Source organism: Homo sapiens, chromosome 20 (assembly GCF_000001405.40).
Source record: "Homo sapiens chromosome 20, GRCh38.p14 Primary Assembly".
Lineage (NCBI taxonomy): Eukaryota > Metazoa > Chordata > Mammalia > Primates > Hominidae > Homo > Homo sapiens.
In genome coordinates this window covers 41,106,336-41,125,439 of record NC_000020.11, presented here as the reverse complement: position 1 = coordinate 41,125,439, position 19,104 = coordinate 41,106,336, and the positions used below count along the sequence as shown (strand labels likewise).

General features: G+C 41.3%; 1 protein-coding gene and 1 long non-coding RNA gene across 2 annotated transcripts in view, besides 1 other annotated feature; one reads left to right on the top strand and one right to left on the bottom strand.

Moving 5' to 3' along the window:
* The window catches only part of PLCG1-AS1 (PLCG1 antisense RNA 1), a 40,007-nt gene that overhangs the window by 12,561 nt on the left and 8,342 nt on the right, over positions 1–19,104 (top strand). The gene's annotated exons all lie outside the window — the stretch shown is intronic.
* The window catches only part of TOP1 (DNA topoisomerase I), a 95,666-nt gene continuing 77,514 nt past the window's right edge, over positions 953–19,104 (bottom strand). The window contains exons 14-21 of the mRNA NM_003286.4: positions 12,515–12,658; positions 11,285–11,470; positions 10,001–10,069; positions 9,048–9,162; positions 7,144–7,271; positions 3,650–3,744; positions 3,285–3,434; positions 953–2,245 (exon numbers count right to left, since the gene is read on the bottom strand). Of these exons, the coding sequence (NP_003277.1) occupies positions 2,143–2,245; positions 3,285–3,434; positions 3,650–3,744; positions 7,144–7,271; positions 9,048–9,162; positions 10,001–10,069; positions 11,285–11,470; positions 12,515–12,658 (990 nt within the window). The 3' untranslated portion in view covers positions 953–2,142. The remainder of the gene's footprint in view (positions 2,246–3,284; positions 3,435–3,649; positions 3,745–7,143; positions 7,272–9,047; positions 9,163–10,000; positions 10,070–11,284; positions 11,471–12,514; positions 12,659–19,104) is intronic.
* Positions 13,964–14,043: a silencer, noted in NCBI's record as "silent region_12913". NCBI's record gives its function as "represses an Ori minimal core promoter by ATAC-STARR-seq in GM12878 lymphoblastoid cells {active_cell/tissue: GM12878}" and the evidence as "EXISTENCE:reporter gene assay evidence [ECO:0000049][PMID:35858748]".

The following is a 19,104-nucleotide window of genomic DNA, read 5'->3' as shown; positions in this document are numbered from 1 at the left end:
CACCTGGCTGGAGTCTCTCTGCTCCAAAGCAGTGATGGCTACATAACCTCCCTTATTCCCTGGGGTGAATGCTGCCTCTTTCACTGGTTAATAAAAATACAGGCTGCCAAGGACCTCCAGGATTCTCTGTTGTGGGCCTAGTACCAGCCCTGCCTCCAGCCTCAGGGAGAACAGAGACTATGGGTTCGCCTCCCCGAAGACACCTACCTGCTCGTGCTAACAAGCTAGAGGGCCCAGGGCCCTTCCATTAATTTACCAATTTTGACCCTTCTGGCCTTCCTGCTCCCTGCAGTCCATTTGACCTAGACAGAGACCTCACTTTCATTCTGAATTCCAGACTTACCTATAATTTAGGATGAGCAAAGGAACAATTTTTGTAGAGACCATAGCCAGCTAGGGTAACTGGAGCACCAGAAAGTGGTCAGAGACCACACCACACTGCCTTTTTCAATTAAGCAGTCAATGCAGGGAGAAGTTTGCATCCCATGTGGGAAGGGGCTTCTGGGATCTGGAACCTTAATTCTCCCCATCCTGATTGTAAGCTTAGCCACGTGAAAAAACCTAAAGCAGCTCCCTTCTGCTTCTGGCCAGTACACATGGAAAGCTCTCCAAAACTTTTGACTCAAATACAGCTGCAACATCCTGCTCAATATACTTTACCTACGCTAGGCCTCCGATGCTGTCTTTGCACCACACCTCTTACTGTGGATTTTTTGCACCCTTCCTTCCTTTCCTGTCTTTTATCTAAGGATATGGACTTTGGATCCTCTTTAACCCACACCCACAGCAGCAGGACAGGCACACAACACTCCTTTCCAGGCCAGGCCCTGCCTCATCTGCTCCTGGGAGGAATCTACTCTTGCTGACCTGAGTGGTGAGACCTCATCCCACACTAAGTCCCAGCCCCAACTCTGGCCTGAGGCCCTTTGTAACAAAGAGGCAGACACTTAAGTTTCCATTAAGTTGTAGGAATTTATTTTAAATAACCTACAGTTGATTAAAAGGGAATTCATGATAAAAATAGAAGATACTTGAGGAAAGATGTGGGAAATGGACTCTGCACACACACTAAACTAACAATGCCTCTAAAACTAATGATTATAGCAAAAAATGTCTTCACATTAAAATTCTGCTTTTTATGTTTTTTTCCATTTTTTACACAATTACAAAAGAAAAAATAAAAGCCCTAAAATCTTGATTATTTTTCCTTTTTTTGGACCAAATACTCATTTTCCTCTAAGTTTATTGACCTGTGAAACTTTTTATACAATAAAATCTTTCAAGTGAAAGATTAGGGTTAAAAAGAAAAAGATGGATATCTTAAAGGGTACAGCGAATGCTCAGAACAAAGGATGATGGGAAAATGGTTTCAGTCACTGATTATTTCATTATCCTTAGATTCACTCGCCCTTCATCCCTCCCCAACCCCAATCTACACGATCTTTAAGATCAAGAAAAAGGTTTAAATATTTTAAAATAATTAAAAAGAAATAAAAATTCACATTTAAAAAGGAACACTCAAGTCAGGAAATATTTTCCCATCATGCTTTTTCTGTGAACAGGTGTCTGAACCAAAACACTGCCAAAGCCACGACTGCTTCAAGTTTAATGAAAATTGATCCCCATGACAATAGAGAGTGACGACTCTAACAGGTGCGCTGGGTTTTTTGTTCTACTTAATTTTAAATTCCTGAAATGGGAGAGAGGGAAGGGAGTTTAGGAATTTATTTCTATTAAAATATAGAAGTTATTGCAAAACCCTAACTGTAAAAACGCACCAATATAATCGGACTTTGCATACAGTAGCTAAGAGAATCCAAACATTTCAGTGAAACAGTGAATTTGCCTGGTAGAACGCTGACAAATTCCCATCCACTTGCCCTCTTGAAAATAAAAACAAAATTCAAAACAAATCATACAGCTAGAATTTTGATATCTGAAATATTTTTAAATAAGTTGTCCATAGGACAACTGGCTCAGCTCTCCCTTATAATATCTCCAGGTTTATCTTTTCGCAAAGATGTTGGTTTGTTAAGACTTGCTGCCTCTCTCCCCCAGGCACGAGGGCAAGTGAGGCTCAGTTTATCCATCTTTCCCAAACCACACTGTTCCTCTTCACAGAACTCTGCCTCTTGAGACTGGCTAAAACTCATAGTCTTCATCAGCCATGTCAATGGCCCAGGCAAACTTCTCCCGCTGGGTTTTGTTGTAAATCTTCTCAATTGGGACACCCCACTTCTTGCACCTGCAAACAAAGGAGAAATAAGGGGGGGATTAGGGTGACTCAGCAATGGCCCATATCTGAGGCCCAGGGTCAGATGTTCCATCTTCTCTTTCACATCTGTCTAGTGAGGATGCAAATTAATAGTGCACCAAGCATGTTCTAAAGGTTTTATGTGATCAACTCATTTAATCTTGGCAGTGATCTCTAAAGTAGGTGCTTCTGCAGATGTACAAGTGAAAAACGTACAGATGAAACTGAGGCAGAGACGTTAGGTAATTTACTGATTTTCTCACACAGCTAGCTGGTAAGTGACCTGAAATTTGAACCCAAGCAGTTTTTCTCCATGTTCTTAACCACTATACTATATTGCCTTTTAAGAGCTAACCAAATCTCTAGCACCAAACAAGGCAAAACGAGCAGAAAGAGGTACAAAAGACCTAGATGGAAACTTTAGCCCGGACTAGCAAGTGCCATAGGGGAGGATATCTCCACCTATGCTCAGAACTTAACAGCTCAAACTAAACATCTTCCATAACAAAGCCACTTGTTTCAGATGTTATGTGACACTGTGTGTGACACACAGAGAAACCTAGTATTTATCTGCTTTTGTTAAAGGTCCCTCTGCCTCTCTGTGTAAGTTGCTCAGATCTGTATTCTCATCTTTATCTCTTGTTCCTACCTTCAACTGCAAAAAAATTCAACGAAAAGTTTTGTTGAAGTGTAGAGATGGATGGGCTCTTTCCTATTCTTCCAGAAGCTAAGAGTTTCCATTCCTGTCCTAAAGTTCCATTAGGAATAGGGATGGCACCTGCCTCTTAAAAATATACACTACAAGGCAGTGTAACAGCACTGACCATTTAGGAGCAACCAGAATGTTGCAATGCATTTACAGACAAGGTTCAGCAACCAGAGTAACTTGTACACAGCTGAAGCCAGAAGTTTCCCCAGAGGACTAAAGTGTGTAGCTTAGGAATGGCATGTGAAGGCCACCAGTGCTCTCGGAACCCCCTCCACCTTTCTTAAGCTAGCAGCAGGAGCTCAAGGAGGGCTCAACACTTACCAAGCCACTGTGATCCTAGGGTCCAGATAATTGAGTTTGGAGGTTCCCAGGGCAATCTGTTTATTTTCCTCTCGGTCTGTGGCTTGAACTTCCAGCTTCATCAACTGTTCCTCCAGTCTCTGAACAGCCTTCTTCTTTGACTCTACTACCCTAGAAGAATAGCAAAGTCCTCAAGAACCAGGCCTGGGCTCTAGACAAGAGCACACTGTACCCATCCTGCCACTTTGAGTCAATAAAAGCCCTAGTATAGAGATTTCCAAAAGACATTTCTCAGAAACCATCGAAAAGCCAGGGCCCCAGGGGCCCTGACAGATGCTGCACACTTTTCTCTACCAGCCCCAACTTTCACAATACCAGGTACATACTTCTTCGTCTTTGCATCCTTCATGACCTTGGCATCAGCCTTAGCACTTTTCAGGTCTCTCCGGGCATCTGCTAGCTGTTCCTTCTTGGCATCAATCTAGGGGAAATAATAGTGGTAAGGTTATGAGCTGTAGAGGAAAAATGGCTCCACCTGAGAAGGTGAAACCAAGATGTTATCTGGACCAGGCTGTCTCTGTCAGTGGTTTGTCAGATAAAAAAAAACAAGGGTGGCTTCATGAAGGCAGGGAGAAGATGCACAAGGACTAGTGAATTCAACTATTTGTTCTTCAGTGATCTGGAAAGAAACAAGGGTTTTACAGGGCAGTAACCTAGGGGCTCAGGGAAAGGAACCCGCTGGGGCTGGGAATCTGGGTGCTGATCTTTCCATCAGAGAACACTCTGCTGTCATACATCTGGGAGGATGGCTACAAATGACAGCTGTTTATCAAATAGATCCTGTGCCAGTTCTTAGCTTTCATTCTAAGAACACTGTAGGAGCTCCTCTTTAGGAAACTGAAGCAGGATACTTGCATCTACTGGGCAACCCCAGCTCGTTCCTCAGATCCCACCAGTACTCTGGGAAGGCGGTGCCAGCTTCTCAAGGAAAATGGATGCACTGAAGAGAGTACTCAAGGGGCTACAAACTGGCAATTAAAAGACACCCAGGAAGCCAAACAGCTCAGCCAGTCTGTCCCAAACCAGGACATGGCAGGGCTTAGCTTTGGCATTCTGTTTTTAAAAGGAGAGCGGTCACCAGGCGCGGTGTCTCACGCCTGTAATCCCAGCACTTTGGGGAGGCTGAGGAGGGCGGATCACAAGGTCAGGAGATCAAGACCATCCTGGCTAACACGGTGAAACCCCGTCTCTACTAAAAATACAAAAAATTAGCCAGGCGTGGTGGTGGGTGCCTGTAGTCCCAGCTACTCGGGAGGCTGAGGCAGTAGAATGGCATGAACCCGGGAGGCAGAGCTTGCAGTGAGCCGAGATCATGCCCCTGCACTCCAGCCTGGGCAACAGAGCGAGACTCCGTCTCAAAAAAAAAGGAGAGAAGTCTGAGGTGGGAAGGACCTTAGTTGTCACTCAATGGATGTGAAAACACTTTTAGCTGTGGAGCTTTTTTCCCCATGTGAACTCTCATGGAATCCATATCTATAAGGGAAGAGACAAGGGCAGTTTCAGCCTTTCTTGCTTGTTAGAATCTTTGAAGCACCCCTGGTGAATCTAAGTTCTTCTCAGATTCCTGCTTAGAGACAGCAGTGGATAACAACATGGAGCTAGAGCCCCTGTCACTGAGCTCACGCTACTCAGAGGGCAGGAGAACCCCATACCTATGGTCATCTATGTGAGGTGAAGACAACCTCTACGGAGTAAATAACATGTCTGACACACACTGGGCTGCTCACTGAACCTGGAATTGTTTGTTGTTAGATACACACAGCCCAAGATTGGAAACAGAGGCCACCATTGTGAGAGGATCACTAAATATGTTTTACTATGAATGGCTTACTTCCAACATCTATGTTGTCCAAAGCCAAACTGAGGGGACTGATTCTATATACAAAAGCATCACAGACACCACTAGCCAGATTCTTTTTAGGATAGAAATGTAGCAAACCATGATCTTTTAACCATTTCTGTGAATGCTAAATTGGCAGGCTATGTCAAATTCTCTCAAAGCATCAAAGACTCCATTGATTCACTTGGCAAACAGGGGCGTGTGTTTGCTTTGTGGGCACACAGGAGAGGAATCCTGGGTTTGGAGGGCTCATCTGGCAGGCAGCCTGGGCTGCCCAAACCCGGTTCCAGAGCGAGAGCAACAAAAGACCTCCTCATGCTCCTGGGAGGGGTTTTCCTGAATTAGGTAAACAGCACCTGAATATTCATGCTTTTATTTCTGGCTTGTAATGATAACATGAGGAGAATAAACAATTCCAGATGACCAGCATTTAACAGAGTGGCAGCAAATGTGAGCTGCTAGGATGGGCCGTCTATAGAGTTCTTTGCCTGCCAATCATATGATCCAAGGAATCAAAGGTCTATGGATGTATACTCATTCACTGTGGACATGTACGTCTCTTCAAGAAAGCCAGATGGCATCTGTAGCATAAATTATAAGTTGTGTGTACCTTTTGAACCAGCTATATTACTCATGGGTACTTATCTTAAGGAAATCTCAACAAATGGAAAATATTCTGGGCCTTAAAATGCAGTCTCATTCCACAGTAGTAGTTCTTAAACTCCAGTTGTACAAGTATAGAATTCCATGAACTTGGATGAGAAAAAATCTATAATTTCAATAACCTCTTTTTGGAACTTATTTATATTTATTTTTAAATTTTTAATACAGACAGGGTCTCACTATGTTGCCCAGGTTGGTCTTGAATTACTCAGCTCAAGTGATTCTCCCACCTCAACCTCCCAAAATGCTGAGATTACAGGTGTGAGCCACTGCACCCAGCTTCTAGCTGAAATTTAGTATTTCTTCTTCAGTTATGAATATGGGGAACAAACCATAGTAATAGCAGCAGCACTTATGACTTTATCATCAATAGATGTTAGACATCTTCATTTCATATTTGAATTGCTGCAGAAATCTTAAAGTATCATTGATATTAATTAATTACTACCTTGAAATTTACTACAGGCCACCTCAAGACCTTAATAAGGAAGCACATCTATTATCGGACTTTAAAATGTATTTTGATAACTGTATTTCAATATAATTTGTTTCCTTTTTAACCCTGTGTATCTGTTCTATAATGAAATATCTGCAAATTCTCACTGTGGACCACCATGTTAGGATGAATTAGTTATGAAGTCACTGCTAACACAAAAATGTTCATCATCAAATGTTAAGTGCCTTATGGTTTAAAAGCTCAGTACCAGGCGGAGTTAGGAGGAGGAAAGAGGCTCAGGGACAAGGAATAGCACCTATTTGCACACCAGTCTTTCCCTTTAGGGCAGCAAGTTGTCTGGCACACGGCCAGTATTCAACAGATGTTTGATGATGAACTATATAAAAATATGATTCATGTGGAATGCGTAAAAATAAAAATAGCTATGCTAGGATTTGAAAGACTTTAAATATATAATTGTTTCATCATCTTTTCAATTTGAAACAATCTAATTTGGAAATGGCTGTATTTCTGGGCTGTAGCAAGGAATTATGAAGACTCTCTTTAAATCCACTTTCCTCATGTACAATAAGGACAGTAATTAGCAATTAGAATGTACACCAAAGTTAGTTTTTCAAAATAGGGAGTGGCCAGTATAGAACTTCTATGCGTAGAATAAAGATTTCTTGAATAATGGATACTCTGATATTCAGTATCTTGATCAGAGATTAACTACTATCATATTTCCATTTGTTTATCTTTAGCATAGACCTTCTACAACAGACCCAGCACTGGCCTGCTGATATCTCAGCCCTGAATCCTCTCATTCGCAGATAATCTGCCCACAGCAGACACAGTTCCCTTCATTTTATCCAAGATACCTTAGTTTGCAAGTTCATCATAGACTTCTCAAAAGTTTTTGGTGGTGCCCTCTGATGGTTACAAAGAATTGCAACAGCTCGATTGGCACGGTTATAAGAAAGGATCTTCGCTGGGATGTTCTCATCCGCTGTAAAGAAAGGAACATGGTAGCAAGAGGGTCAGTTTGTACACCAAAAGTGAACACACAGTATGTCTTCCCCCAGTGCCTCGTCCCCATGATTTTGCTGGCTCTTATCTTACTCAGATGATTAATTCAAATTGCCCCCAAGGACTAAGGTCAAAATTTGAGTCAACAGTCTTAAGAAAATGATAGTAGGAAGTTTATATGTAAGCTTGGCCTGGGTAAATTCCTATCACAAGAGGAACTCTGAGTCTAGGTAATATAATAAAATCTACACCTTTCTTTTTACTCAGGGAACTTGGCTAGGGACCCTTCATCTCCTTGCTTCCTCCCCACCCATATGCTCATCATAGGTGCTGCTGATATTACTATGGTTTGTTGCCCATATTCATAAGTTCTATACTGGCCACTTCCTACCTCCCCACCTCTCCACCCAATGTAGCCAGAACAGAACGAGGAATTGAAGGGACGTTAAAAGTTTAAAAATTTTGGCCGGGCGCGGTGGCTCACACCTGTAATCCCAGCACTTTGGGAGGCCGAGGCGGGCGGATCACAAGGTCAGGAGATCGAGACCATCCTGGCTAACACGGTGAACCCTGTCTCTACTAAAAATACAAAAAATTAGCCGGGCGACATGGCGGGCACCTGTAGTCCCAGCTACTCGGGAGGCTGAGGCAGGAGAATGGCGTGAACCCCAGGAGGCGGAGCTTGCAGTGAGCCGAGATCGCGCCACTGCACTCCAACCTGGGTGACAGCAAGACTCCGTCTCAAAAAAAAAAAAAAAAAAAAAAAAATTAAGCCACAGTTGGTAGTATTATTATGGTTATTATTATTATTTTAGAGATAGCGTCTCACCCTGTCACCCAAGCTGGAGTGCGGTGGTATGGTCGTAGCTCATTACAGCCCTAAACTCCTGGGCTCAGCCTCCCAGGTAGCTGGGATGACAGGTGCACACCGCCACACCTGCCTAATTTTTAGAAATTTTAGTAGAGACAAGGTCTCACTACATTGCCCAGGCTGGTCTGGAACTCCTGGGTTCAAGTGATTCTCCTGCCTCGGCTACCCAAGTGTTGGGATTACAGGTGTGAGCCACTGCACATGGCCTGGTAGTATCTTATTTAAAAAGAAAAATTAAAAATGCCATCCAAAAAAATTGTTTTTATTTGTATAGTGTGGCATTCTTTATACCACCTTAAAATACTGACCCTCAACATACCTACCTCTGGCTTTTCTGGTTCATATTCTAAGGCCATCTGATGTATTTACAGAGGGCAGTGGAAATTCAATAGTGACTGGGCTCCAGGAAAAAAAAAGCCCGTGGATCTTGGTGATAATATTCTAAAAATCAGCTATAGAAAGTATCTACTCTCTTATGGGAAAAAAATGACAGAAACCTCAAGGAAAGGACTTGTTCCTGTATTTTTCTGGTAACCATGACAACTTTACTCTCTCCAATTTAACAGAACATCACAGCACTGTCTTCACTCTGTGGGCTTTTAAGTAATATATGTATAAAACACAAATGCAGGCATTTTTGTAGCAGGTGAAAAGCTGTCAGCATTCCATGAAATTAATCTTGAAGTTGGGGTGGGAAGGGGGAAACAGCATTGATCCTATGTTTATACAACAAAGCATTATCTCGCTACTAGAGGTCTAAAGGGAAAAAGTGTCTGACCACAATGGTAGGGAAAAAAAGTAGAACTGACTCTAGGCCTTAGATAAGCAAGGTCACCGGATACCATTAGTAGGGGTGTGGGCCCTATCTGGCCAAGCAATACTTACGGGCTGTCAGTTCTTTTAGCTGCTGCTGTAGCGTGATGGAGGCATTGTATGTACGGAATACCTTGGCTGTCAAGCCCTCCATGAGATCCTGAAGATGCTTATTCAGAATACCAGTCTGGAGGAGACAAAGCAACAGATTTAGGTCAAAGCTATACTACCTGCTCCTTCTGGCAGCCCTAGGAGTAATTTATGCCAGTGCAGTCACAATCTTGTCAAGTTTATTGCCCTACAAGTGGGAAGTTAGGGAAAGAGGAAAAGAATTCCAGAATACAGGGTTACATGATGCCTCTCTATGAAGTATTTCAATCTTTGTGTGTGTGTATGACAGGGTCTCACTCTGACACCCAGCCTGGAGTGCAGTGGTACAATCTCGGTTCACTGCTGCCTCCACCTCCCGGGCTCATGCAATCCTTCTGAGGCTCCTAAGCAGCTGGGACTACAGGTGTGGACTACCACACCTGGATAATGGTTTTGCCATGTTGCCCAGGCTGGTCTCAAACTCCTGACCTCAAGGGATCTGCCCTACTTGACCTCTCAAAGTGCTGGGATAACAGGCGTAAGCCACCAAGCCTGGCCCAGGTTGGTGGGCTTAACAAACCAATAAAGCAAATTTTTCCTTCCCTATTAAGATATCAGGGACAGGTTTTGGGTCTCCAGCAGGGGTGGCTGGGCATTCAGTGAAGGGAAAGCTCTGCAGGAGCAGGGAAGGATAAAAGGTAGGGCTCATCTACCCCCCACCCTGAGTGCTTTAGCAGTTGTTCTGCAGCAGATGTGTCTTCTCTTGACTACAGATTCACCGTGGACTCAGAGGGAGGAAGAGAGAGTGTATGGGATGCCACAGAGCAGGCCAGGCTAAAGGGAGAGCCCAAGTCATCTGCCAGCAACCCTCCCCTTTAGGTACTGTGAGGCTCTGGCTGGGACTCCCTTCAACATTGTGTGCTTCATCTACTCACATTGAGTCTATCAAAAAGATCATCCTCGGGCTGCTTGTTCTCCATAAATAGTTGTAGGTTCTTAAAAACCTAAAAGATATAAGTGAATCCTAATTATTACTCTTGAAAAAAATCCTAACTTTAGAAATAACCCCAAACTTAAAGAAACTTGCAAAGAAAAAGGCACAAGGAACACGCATACATCCGTCACCGAGATTCACTGTTAACATTTTACCCCATTCATCATTTGCACAGTGTGCATGTATGCTCACTCTCTCCATGTGTATATTTACAGATATATATACATAATTGTTTGTTCTGAGCCATTTATAAGCACTTACTTATAATATGGTCCTAAAGTACATTTATAAGTACTTACTTATAATATGGTCCTAAAGTACATTTATAAGTACTTACTTATAATATGGTCCTAAACATTTCAGTGTGTATGTTCTAAAAATAGATATTCCCTTACATTTACACAGTATCAGCTTCAAAAATTTACATTGATACATACTGTTATCTAATCTGTCCAGAGTACTTCCACAGCCAGCAAAACCTGATTACTGATTATGGTGTCCTTATGAGAAGAGGTGTCTTTATAAGAAGAGGACTGCTGGTGGGCTGGATTATTAGGATCCTGCACACTGTAAGTCTCTGGTTCAAGCCCAATACTATGGAAAAGATTAGGTTGGGACTACAGAGCTATAGTACCCTCTTCAGTGATGGGCTCAGAGATCTGGGGACTAACATTAACCTTTCACTCAGTCAGGAGTTGGAGAAAGGCTGAGCAAAGATGAAAAGTGACAAATGTACCACATGACCAGGGGATACTAAGATATAGTTAAATCATATGCTGAGTTTGCTCTAAGGGCCTATTCTACAGCATGCTCCATTGAATACTGCTATAGGAGAAGGCCACTCCTTACCAGGAAGGTAGCACAGGGCGGAACAGTGACTAAAAGGAGGTACACAAGATATCAAATAATACCTCTCCCCTCTTTCAAGTCATTTATTTTTATTTATTTTAATATGAGAGGCAAGGTCTCACTATTTTGCCCAGGCTGGAGTACAGTGGCTATTCACAGGTGTGATCACAGCACACTACAGCCTCAAACTTTTGGTCTCCAGTGATCCTCCTGTCTCAGCCTTCTGAATAGCTGGGTCTACAGGCATGTGCCATGTTGCCTGTCTCAAGTCACTTTTGCTGGTGCCCAGCAAAGTGCAAAGCACACAAAAAAGCAGTCAACCCATGCTTGTTGAATAATGGAAAACAAGTCAGACAGTACAGGTACATTAACTTACTCGTTTCTCAACAGGGACCTTGTTATAGTATCTGATGGAGTCCTTCCCGAGGAAGTCAAACTCTACCACATATTCCTGACCATCCAACTCTGGGTGTAGATTGATGTGCTCCACACGAAGTGAGCAGCAGCCCACAGTGTCCGCTGTTTCTCCTTCCTCCTTTTCATTGCCTGCTCTCAGAGCAAGCTGCCCAGGAAAGAAAGAAAAGATGAGCATGAATGGAAGAGACATGATCCTTACACAATTTCGTTCTGTGTTTTTTTTTTTTTTTTTTTTGAGACAGTCTCGCTCTGTCGCCAGGCTAGAGTGCAATGGCGCAATTTTGGCTCACTGCAAGCTCCGTCTCCCGGGTTCATGCCATTCTCCTGCCTCAGCCTCCGAAGTAGCTGGGACTACAGGCGCCCGCCACCACGCCAATTTTTATTTTTTTTTTTTTTTTTGTATTTTTAGTAGAGATGGGGTTTCACCACATTGGCCAGGATGGTCTCTTGACCTCGTGTTCCACCTGCCTTGGCCTCCCAAAGTGCTGGGATTACAGGCGTGAGCCACTGCGCCCAGCCTTTTGACCCTTATGCAATTTCTAGGCATCCAAAACAGAAGCCTCCCAATTCTGTTTGAAGCCACAGCATCAGTCAGCATGGCCTGGGAACTCTGGATTCTGCAGTGTTACTTCCTCCCCCACTCACTATGAAATCTATAGGGATGTTAAATATTCATGCTCCTTTTCTTTCTATTCTGTCCTCTGAAATAGGGATGGAGAAAAGGAAAAAAAAAATTAAATAAGGCAGCAAATGAGGGAGTGCTGCTACTCTGGGCAATCAAACTCAAAAAGCTAGTGTGAATTTTGAGACAATTCAGAACTTATGTTAAAATACAAGACTGGGGGAAAAACATGAACTTTTTTTTCTTCTCGTGAGTACCAAGAAATTGATCTCCTCTAGAGCGTGGTCTTTAAAACTATATAATGGTGATACCTGCATGGTTTATTTAAACAATTTTATAAGTTATAACCAACTTTCTAAAGGAATGAAATAGAGTTAAAAAAAGATCAGAATCTACTGCTCACAGTAAGGCTAAGCATTGTTTTGTGCAACTTTTGATTCAGTTTTACATACAAATATATGTATGTTGAGTTGTGATATACAGTATGTGGCACAGGGCCTGGGGCAGAGCAGAAACTCCCTTTGTTAAGCTCAACACTAGACAATGCCGATGGGAAGATGCTCTCACCTTGTCGATGAAGTACAGGGCTACAGCTCTCTGCCGGACTTTCATCTCTTTGGACTTCCAGTCTTCTCGATACTGGTTCCGGATCTTGTCCACACATTTTTTCAGCCGCCGAGCAGTCTCGTATTTCTGCCAGTCCTTCTCACCCTGTAAAGACCCAAACCCAAATGTAGATTACTTTGGGACAGTGTAGTAAAGACAGACTTTGAATATAGCCAGGCAAGGTGGCGCAAGCCTATAATCCCAGCTAGCTAATAGGGAGGCTAAGACACAAGAATTGCTTGAACGCAGGAGGCAGAGGTTGCAGTGAGCCAAGATCACGCCACTGCACTCCACCATGGGTGACAAAGCAAGACTTTGAACAAAAGAGCAGGAACTTGACCTTAAGCAAACGTAAAAAAGAATAGTACTGAAGAGAGAGTTTGGCACATTTAACCTGTTAAGAATGCACATTGTCCCATCTCACTGCCAAGCACAACTGACTTCTAAGGCTTTCCCAGAAGAAAGTTTCTAGCTCTAATTCTCTAAAATGTTTATGTTCCTGGGAAAAACCCACATGGGATGTCCCAAAAACTAACTTCTGTCAACACAAAGCACATAATCACCCCCATTCCCACATCAATTTCACAGCCTTGCTGCCAACTCTGTGACCCAATAGCAGTTTTCTACCAGGACTGAATTCCATTAAATCTAAGTGAATTCCATTAAATTACAGTGTGGTGGAGCTGTCAAAGAAGCAGAACCAAAGACTACAACATGTAATTACTAAGGACACAATGACTTCCAGGAACAGCCATAATTATTCACCATTTTCTAACTTCTGCATTTAAAAGCATTTCTTGATGAGATTGAGAGAAACTATGTTTCTGGGAAGCCTTTAAAAAAATAAGAGCTTTTGGTGGAAGGGTTAAAAGTTGATTCTAAACCCAATGAAGGGTTACTAAAACCATGTGAAAACTGAATCTAAACAATAGTGAAGAAGACTTCTGCTACCAAGCTGAATGAAAATAGACTCACAAGCAAGAGCCAATTATGACAAGTGAGAAGGGGAAAAAAATTCAAGAAATCCAGAAGCAGGGAATTACATAAAACAGCATAAAACAGACTAGATGACATAAACATAGAGAAGGAATTTAAGAATCCAAGAATCTCTGCTCTTAATTTCCCCACCCGCAACAAAGGAAAGTGGTAGTGATTTCTGCCCACACATGCCTGGTTCCTGACTATGACGTGGACCCGTGGTCCTTGAGACATAAGACCTGTGGTGAAGATAACCAGCCTTTCAGCCTGGGCAACAGAGCATGACCCTATCAAAAAAAAAAAAAAGGGGGCGGGGGGTGGGGTGGGGGCGCAACCAGCCTTCTGGGTGTGCAGAAGCATGAGATACCTAGAGCAAGAATGTCTTCCACTTCTCAATCCTAAAAGTACTCAGAAATTAAAAGCTTACACAGTTAAGCTAAGGAGTCATCTGCACTCTCACATCATGTGTACCAGTGTTATGCACTTGTTTGGCTACAAGAGTTTCAGTAACTACCTGCTATCATGGGTGGGTGATTTAGTAGTTGGTGACACAGAAAAAATACCTAAGTCTTAGTACATTTTGACATTTAACAGGGTGAATAAGAAAAGGTGAGATATAAGCTGTCCTCATGCACAAGTCAGTAGTAAATCTCCATGACAACTGTTCTTACACATGCACGGAAAAATTGGACACAAAAGGCTCACCTTCAACAGTAGAGTACCCAACTCTGGAGTGGCCTCTTTCCCCTCACTCTAGTGCACATGGACTACCAAAGCCTGTCTCAAAGTCCCCTAGGGTTACGTTTGCTCAGTTCCTTAGTCACACCACTGGAATGTAAGGTAGGAGTCAGGTAAACGAGATTTAGAAAAACCCAACCCGCACGTCATTCACAGGATACTACCAGACCAACTTTTCTTCACAGGCTGGCTGGGCTTCTGCACCAAGGATCTAGGATTCTCTCAAATAAGCTGAGATGGAGGTGGAGGCAGAAGCCACCCCGCTTAGATCCAGCAGGAGATGGCTGGCCTCCAAGAAGTATGCTTGTCCCTGCAGTGTTCAATGCCCTGAACAAGCTTTCTTGACTACTTTTAGAAAATAAACTATCCACCTAGGTCTTCCAGGCAAGGTCTCACAAAACCATCTCAAGAAGACAAGGAATCCACTGGAGAAGGCTGCCTTTGACCACCTCTCCTCTTTCCCTAATTCAATCACACTTCAGTAATGGGTAAAAATCTAATTTAACTGATTGTAGATGACATTCTTTGGATGACTTTTTAAAACTAGTAGGCCCACTATATTGTCTCTCTAATATAGCTGCTATCCATTCAGCAGAGTGGTTGGGTGGAATCAGGATCTGGATTCAAGATTACAAAGTTGGGGGTGAGAAGGCAAATTGGATTCTGTTTTCTAGTAACTTTCTCAGACGTTTGTAATGGGGAAGAGGACATTTGCCAGTATTCTTACATGACTATTTCCCTTCTCAGTCAATTTCCACCAAGCAACCACTGATCCTTCAATCTGATTACTATCATCATGGATAAATTTTGCCTAGTCTAGATTATATAAATAGAATCATACAATATAGACTCCTCTGTCTGCCTTTTTAACTTTTTTTTTTCCCTCTGAGACAGCGTCTCGCTCTGTCACCAGGCTGGAGTACAGTGATGCAATCTCGGCTCAGTGCAACCTCTACCCCTCAGGTTCAAGCGATTCCCATGTCTCAGCCTCCTGAATAGCTGAGATTACAGGTGTGCGCCACCCTCGGCTAATTTTTGTATTTTTTTGTAGAGACGGTGTTTCGCCATGTTGGCCAGGCTGGTCTCGAACTCCTGACCTGAAGTGATCCACCCGCCTTGGCCTCCCAGAGTGCTTGGATTACAGGCATGCACCAACCGCACCTGGCCCTTAACCATGTTTTTAAGATTCATCCATGTTGTTGAATACATAAGTAGTTCCCTTCTTAACTGCTGATAAATATAGTATATTCTATGACTATACCATAATGTGTTATCTATTCTGGGATGTTTCCAGTTTTGCACTCTTATGAATAGAGCACTGCTATGAACATTCTTGTACAAGTTTTTTCATGGATAAATGTTTTTATTTCACTTGAGGTAAAAATACCTAGAACTGGAATTCGTATCTCCCTGTGGTTAAATCTTCACTCCACTGATAATTAGTGATGTCGAGCACTCTTTCATTTGCTTATTTATTGACCATTCCTGTATCTTCTTTTGTATAGTATATGTTCAAGTCTTTTGCTCTTTTTATTATGCGGATGGGATGTCTGTTTTTTTATTATGGAGCTACAGGAATTCTTTGTATAGTCTGGATATAAGCCCTTTCAGATAAACATGTTGCAAATATTTTCTTTTAGTCTGTAAATTCTGTATTTATTTTAGCAGTGTCTTTTGTTGAACATAAATTTTTAATTTTAATGAAGTCCATTTAGTCAATTGTTTCTCTTGTTGGTGTTTTTCTGTCCTAAGGAATCTACTCTAAGGTCATATTCAACCATGATATCACCTACAAGCTTTAATATTTTAGTCTTCACACTTAGGTCTATGTTAGTCTTACTAATAAATAGATTTAAAACGTTTTGAATTTTATACCAAGATGCCAGGCTCAGAATATATATATATTTTTAATGAGCTTGTGTCTTATTTTCTCTAATAGAACTCACCAAAATGAGAGCTTCCCAAGATGAATATTGTAAAGATACTTTCCTTCACATTTAGCCCTTTAATCCCTAGGTGGTTACATATAAAAGGTTGTAAGCACATACATTTTTGGAACCCCACAGAATTCTAGACTCTAAAGAGAAAAAAGGCAGAAGTGTGTATTTGGCACTGAGAGTATTTTAACAGGACTAAACGCAATACGATGTCAACATTGATCCTAAAGTTTGCTGTACTGCATTTGAAAGAAAAATCATGATGATAAATTCTGTTTGTAAGGTTAAGGCTGGTTTGAAAAAACCTGAATTTTACTAAGGGCTACTTTCCCTGGGTTGTGAGAGCAGGTAATGCTTCCAAACTTGGCAGTGGATTGTACTTAGCAGTGAGTACCCATAAGCAGCCTTTTTGTAAACTCCTAGATTATGCAGGATAAGAAACTCCTGGGTTATCTGGAATCAGAGTTTCTTTGGTTGAAACTGCAGGTTCCAGAAGGCTAGCTGTCATTCCAATGCTATTTCAGATCCTACGGGCACCAGGCACAGAGTGGGAGAGAAAGAATGGAAATATGCTTGCAAGATGTCTGTGTAATCAAAATCCTGGGGGGAAAAGCAAAAACAAACTGGGATGAACATAAAAAGATATGAATGAGTTCAGGACAACCTTTTCAGTACCTAGAGCAAGTGTTATTGTGGTTCTCAAAAATCCCAATCCTTTCAATGACCTTTGAGGCTAGAAGTAGTGTAACTGTGACAGTGACTGCAAGTAGGCCAATCCAAGTTTCCAGAAAGGGGGCAAAGACAGGATACATAAAAAGAACACACTTCAGCTGTTCTACAACTTTGTGCTTTTTACCCCTGAATGATTCCTTTAATTTTTTAAATTGTCGAAAATTCATAGTTCACATCATGCTTGTGCTACATTTCTTGATAGAGCACAGATGGGATACAATGATACACTATTATGTGAGGGAATTAAGTAAGTAAAATATAGACACAAGAGTAAACAAAGACGACTCTTAGAATAGGAGACATCTCTGGAGGCTGAGCAGAAATGTGTAGAACAAAAGCATCATGATGGCAGCTTCCCATATAGCCGACCTAAAGCCCTCCATGAAGTAAAACCACCAGTTACCACCCTTCAACATTCTATTACAAAAACATATCTGTTATTGACTGCTGGGTCACAGTAAGTCATACTTTAATTATGTTTGCTCCAAATATGTAGCAATGTAAGTGCTCTAGGCTGGATGTGGTGGCTCACGCCTACCCAGCACTTTGGGAGGCTGAGACAGGAGGATCACTTCTTGCTCCATGCAAGAAGGGGGGACTTGAAGTCAGGGGCCTTATTAGCTTGGGCTGAGCTGGGCTAAGAGACTCCCTCCAAGACAAAAAGTAATGAACAGAGAAGGAGAAGAAGGGAAAGAAAAGAGAACAGTACATAAGCAAAAAACACCTCCCAGTTAAAAGGGCTTACAAACAGAAATTTCAAAAGACACAAGGAAAATGGCTCAGAAAAACTGCCAACAGTAATTAGCACATGAATTCACTTCAGGTAACATTTTATAGAACAATCTTACAAAGACTTTCAAGTGAGTATGTTTAGTATGCATAAAAAGATGTAAAATCTAGAAAGAACATGAAATTATAAAACAAAAATGAAACAAAATCAGATATAAAATTAGAAATTTTGAAAACAAAAAGTGGTAATTGAAATAAATTATAGATGGAATAACTTGTAGATTAAATATAATTAGAATTAGTGAATTGGAAGTGAGTGCTACAACTCACCCAAAATGAAATATTCCCCTGAACTTAAAAAATCAGACCTAAAGAGACAAAGAGTATGAAAATATAGTTTAAAAAAGATGTCTAGATTGAAAAGTGTCAACACTCATCTAATAGGACTCTAAAAAAGAAGTACAAAAGGAATGGTCTAGAAGTTATGGAAGAAATAATGATTGGTAATACTGTAGGATAAAATACATTAGTCCTCAGATTAAAAGTCTATCTATAAATACATATATATCCCTGGATACAGCATAGTGAAACCAGAATCTTCCCTATAAGACACTTCCTTGACTGGAGAAAAGACAGACTATGAATTAAGATGAAAATAAAGAAATTTTCAGGTAAACAAAGGTGAGTGAGTGCCACTGTTGGGTCTTCACTAAAGAAACATTAAAGGGTGTATTTCAACAAGACAAGAAACCCCAGAAGGTATGAGATACAAGAAACACTGAGTATAGCAATTAATAAAACATTTGGCTGTGACTGCTGTTGACTAGGGAAAGGGTTAGGGTTTTATGGATAATTGTGTTTAAAAATAAAAATTAAAACTTAAAGAAATATGAAATATATGAACTGAAAATGAAGAACTGTTTTTATAGATAATTAAATTATCTACATAGAAACCCCAAATGACAGACACTTTTAGAACTAAGAGTTCAGCAACCCTGAACAACTCTGAGCACCTCTTGTATCTGCTGCCAGATACAAGACCAACACCCCAAAATTATAAGCATTACCACTTCAGGAATAACCAACAGAAACATAATGGAAAAAAATCTCATTCACATTAGCAATAAAAACTATAAGATCACTTAAAAATAAGAATTTTTTAAATGTAAAACCTTTATGAAGAAAATTACAAAACCATATTGGTGGATACATTCAAAAGACATGAATTAATGGAGAGGTATAACATGTTCGTGAATTGGAAACTCAATTGTATTGTCAATATCTTTCTCCGTTAATCTATAAATGTATTGCAATTCCAATAAAAATCTCAACAGTTTTTATTAGAATTTGTTAATCAACAAGTTTATCAACAGTTTTCATTAGAATTTGACAAGTTTATCTGAAAGTTAATATGAAACAGCAGAGGGCCAAGAATAG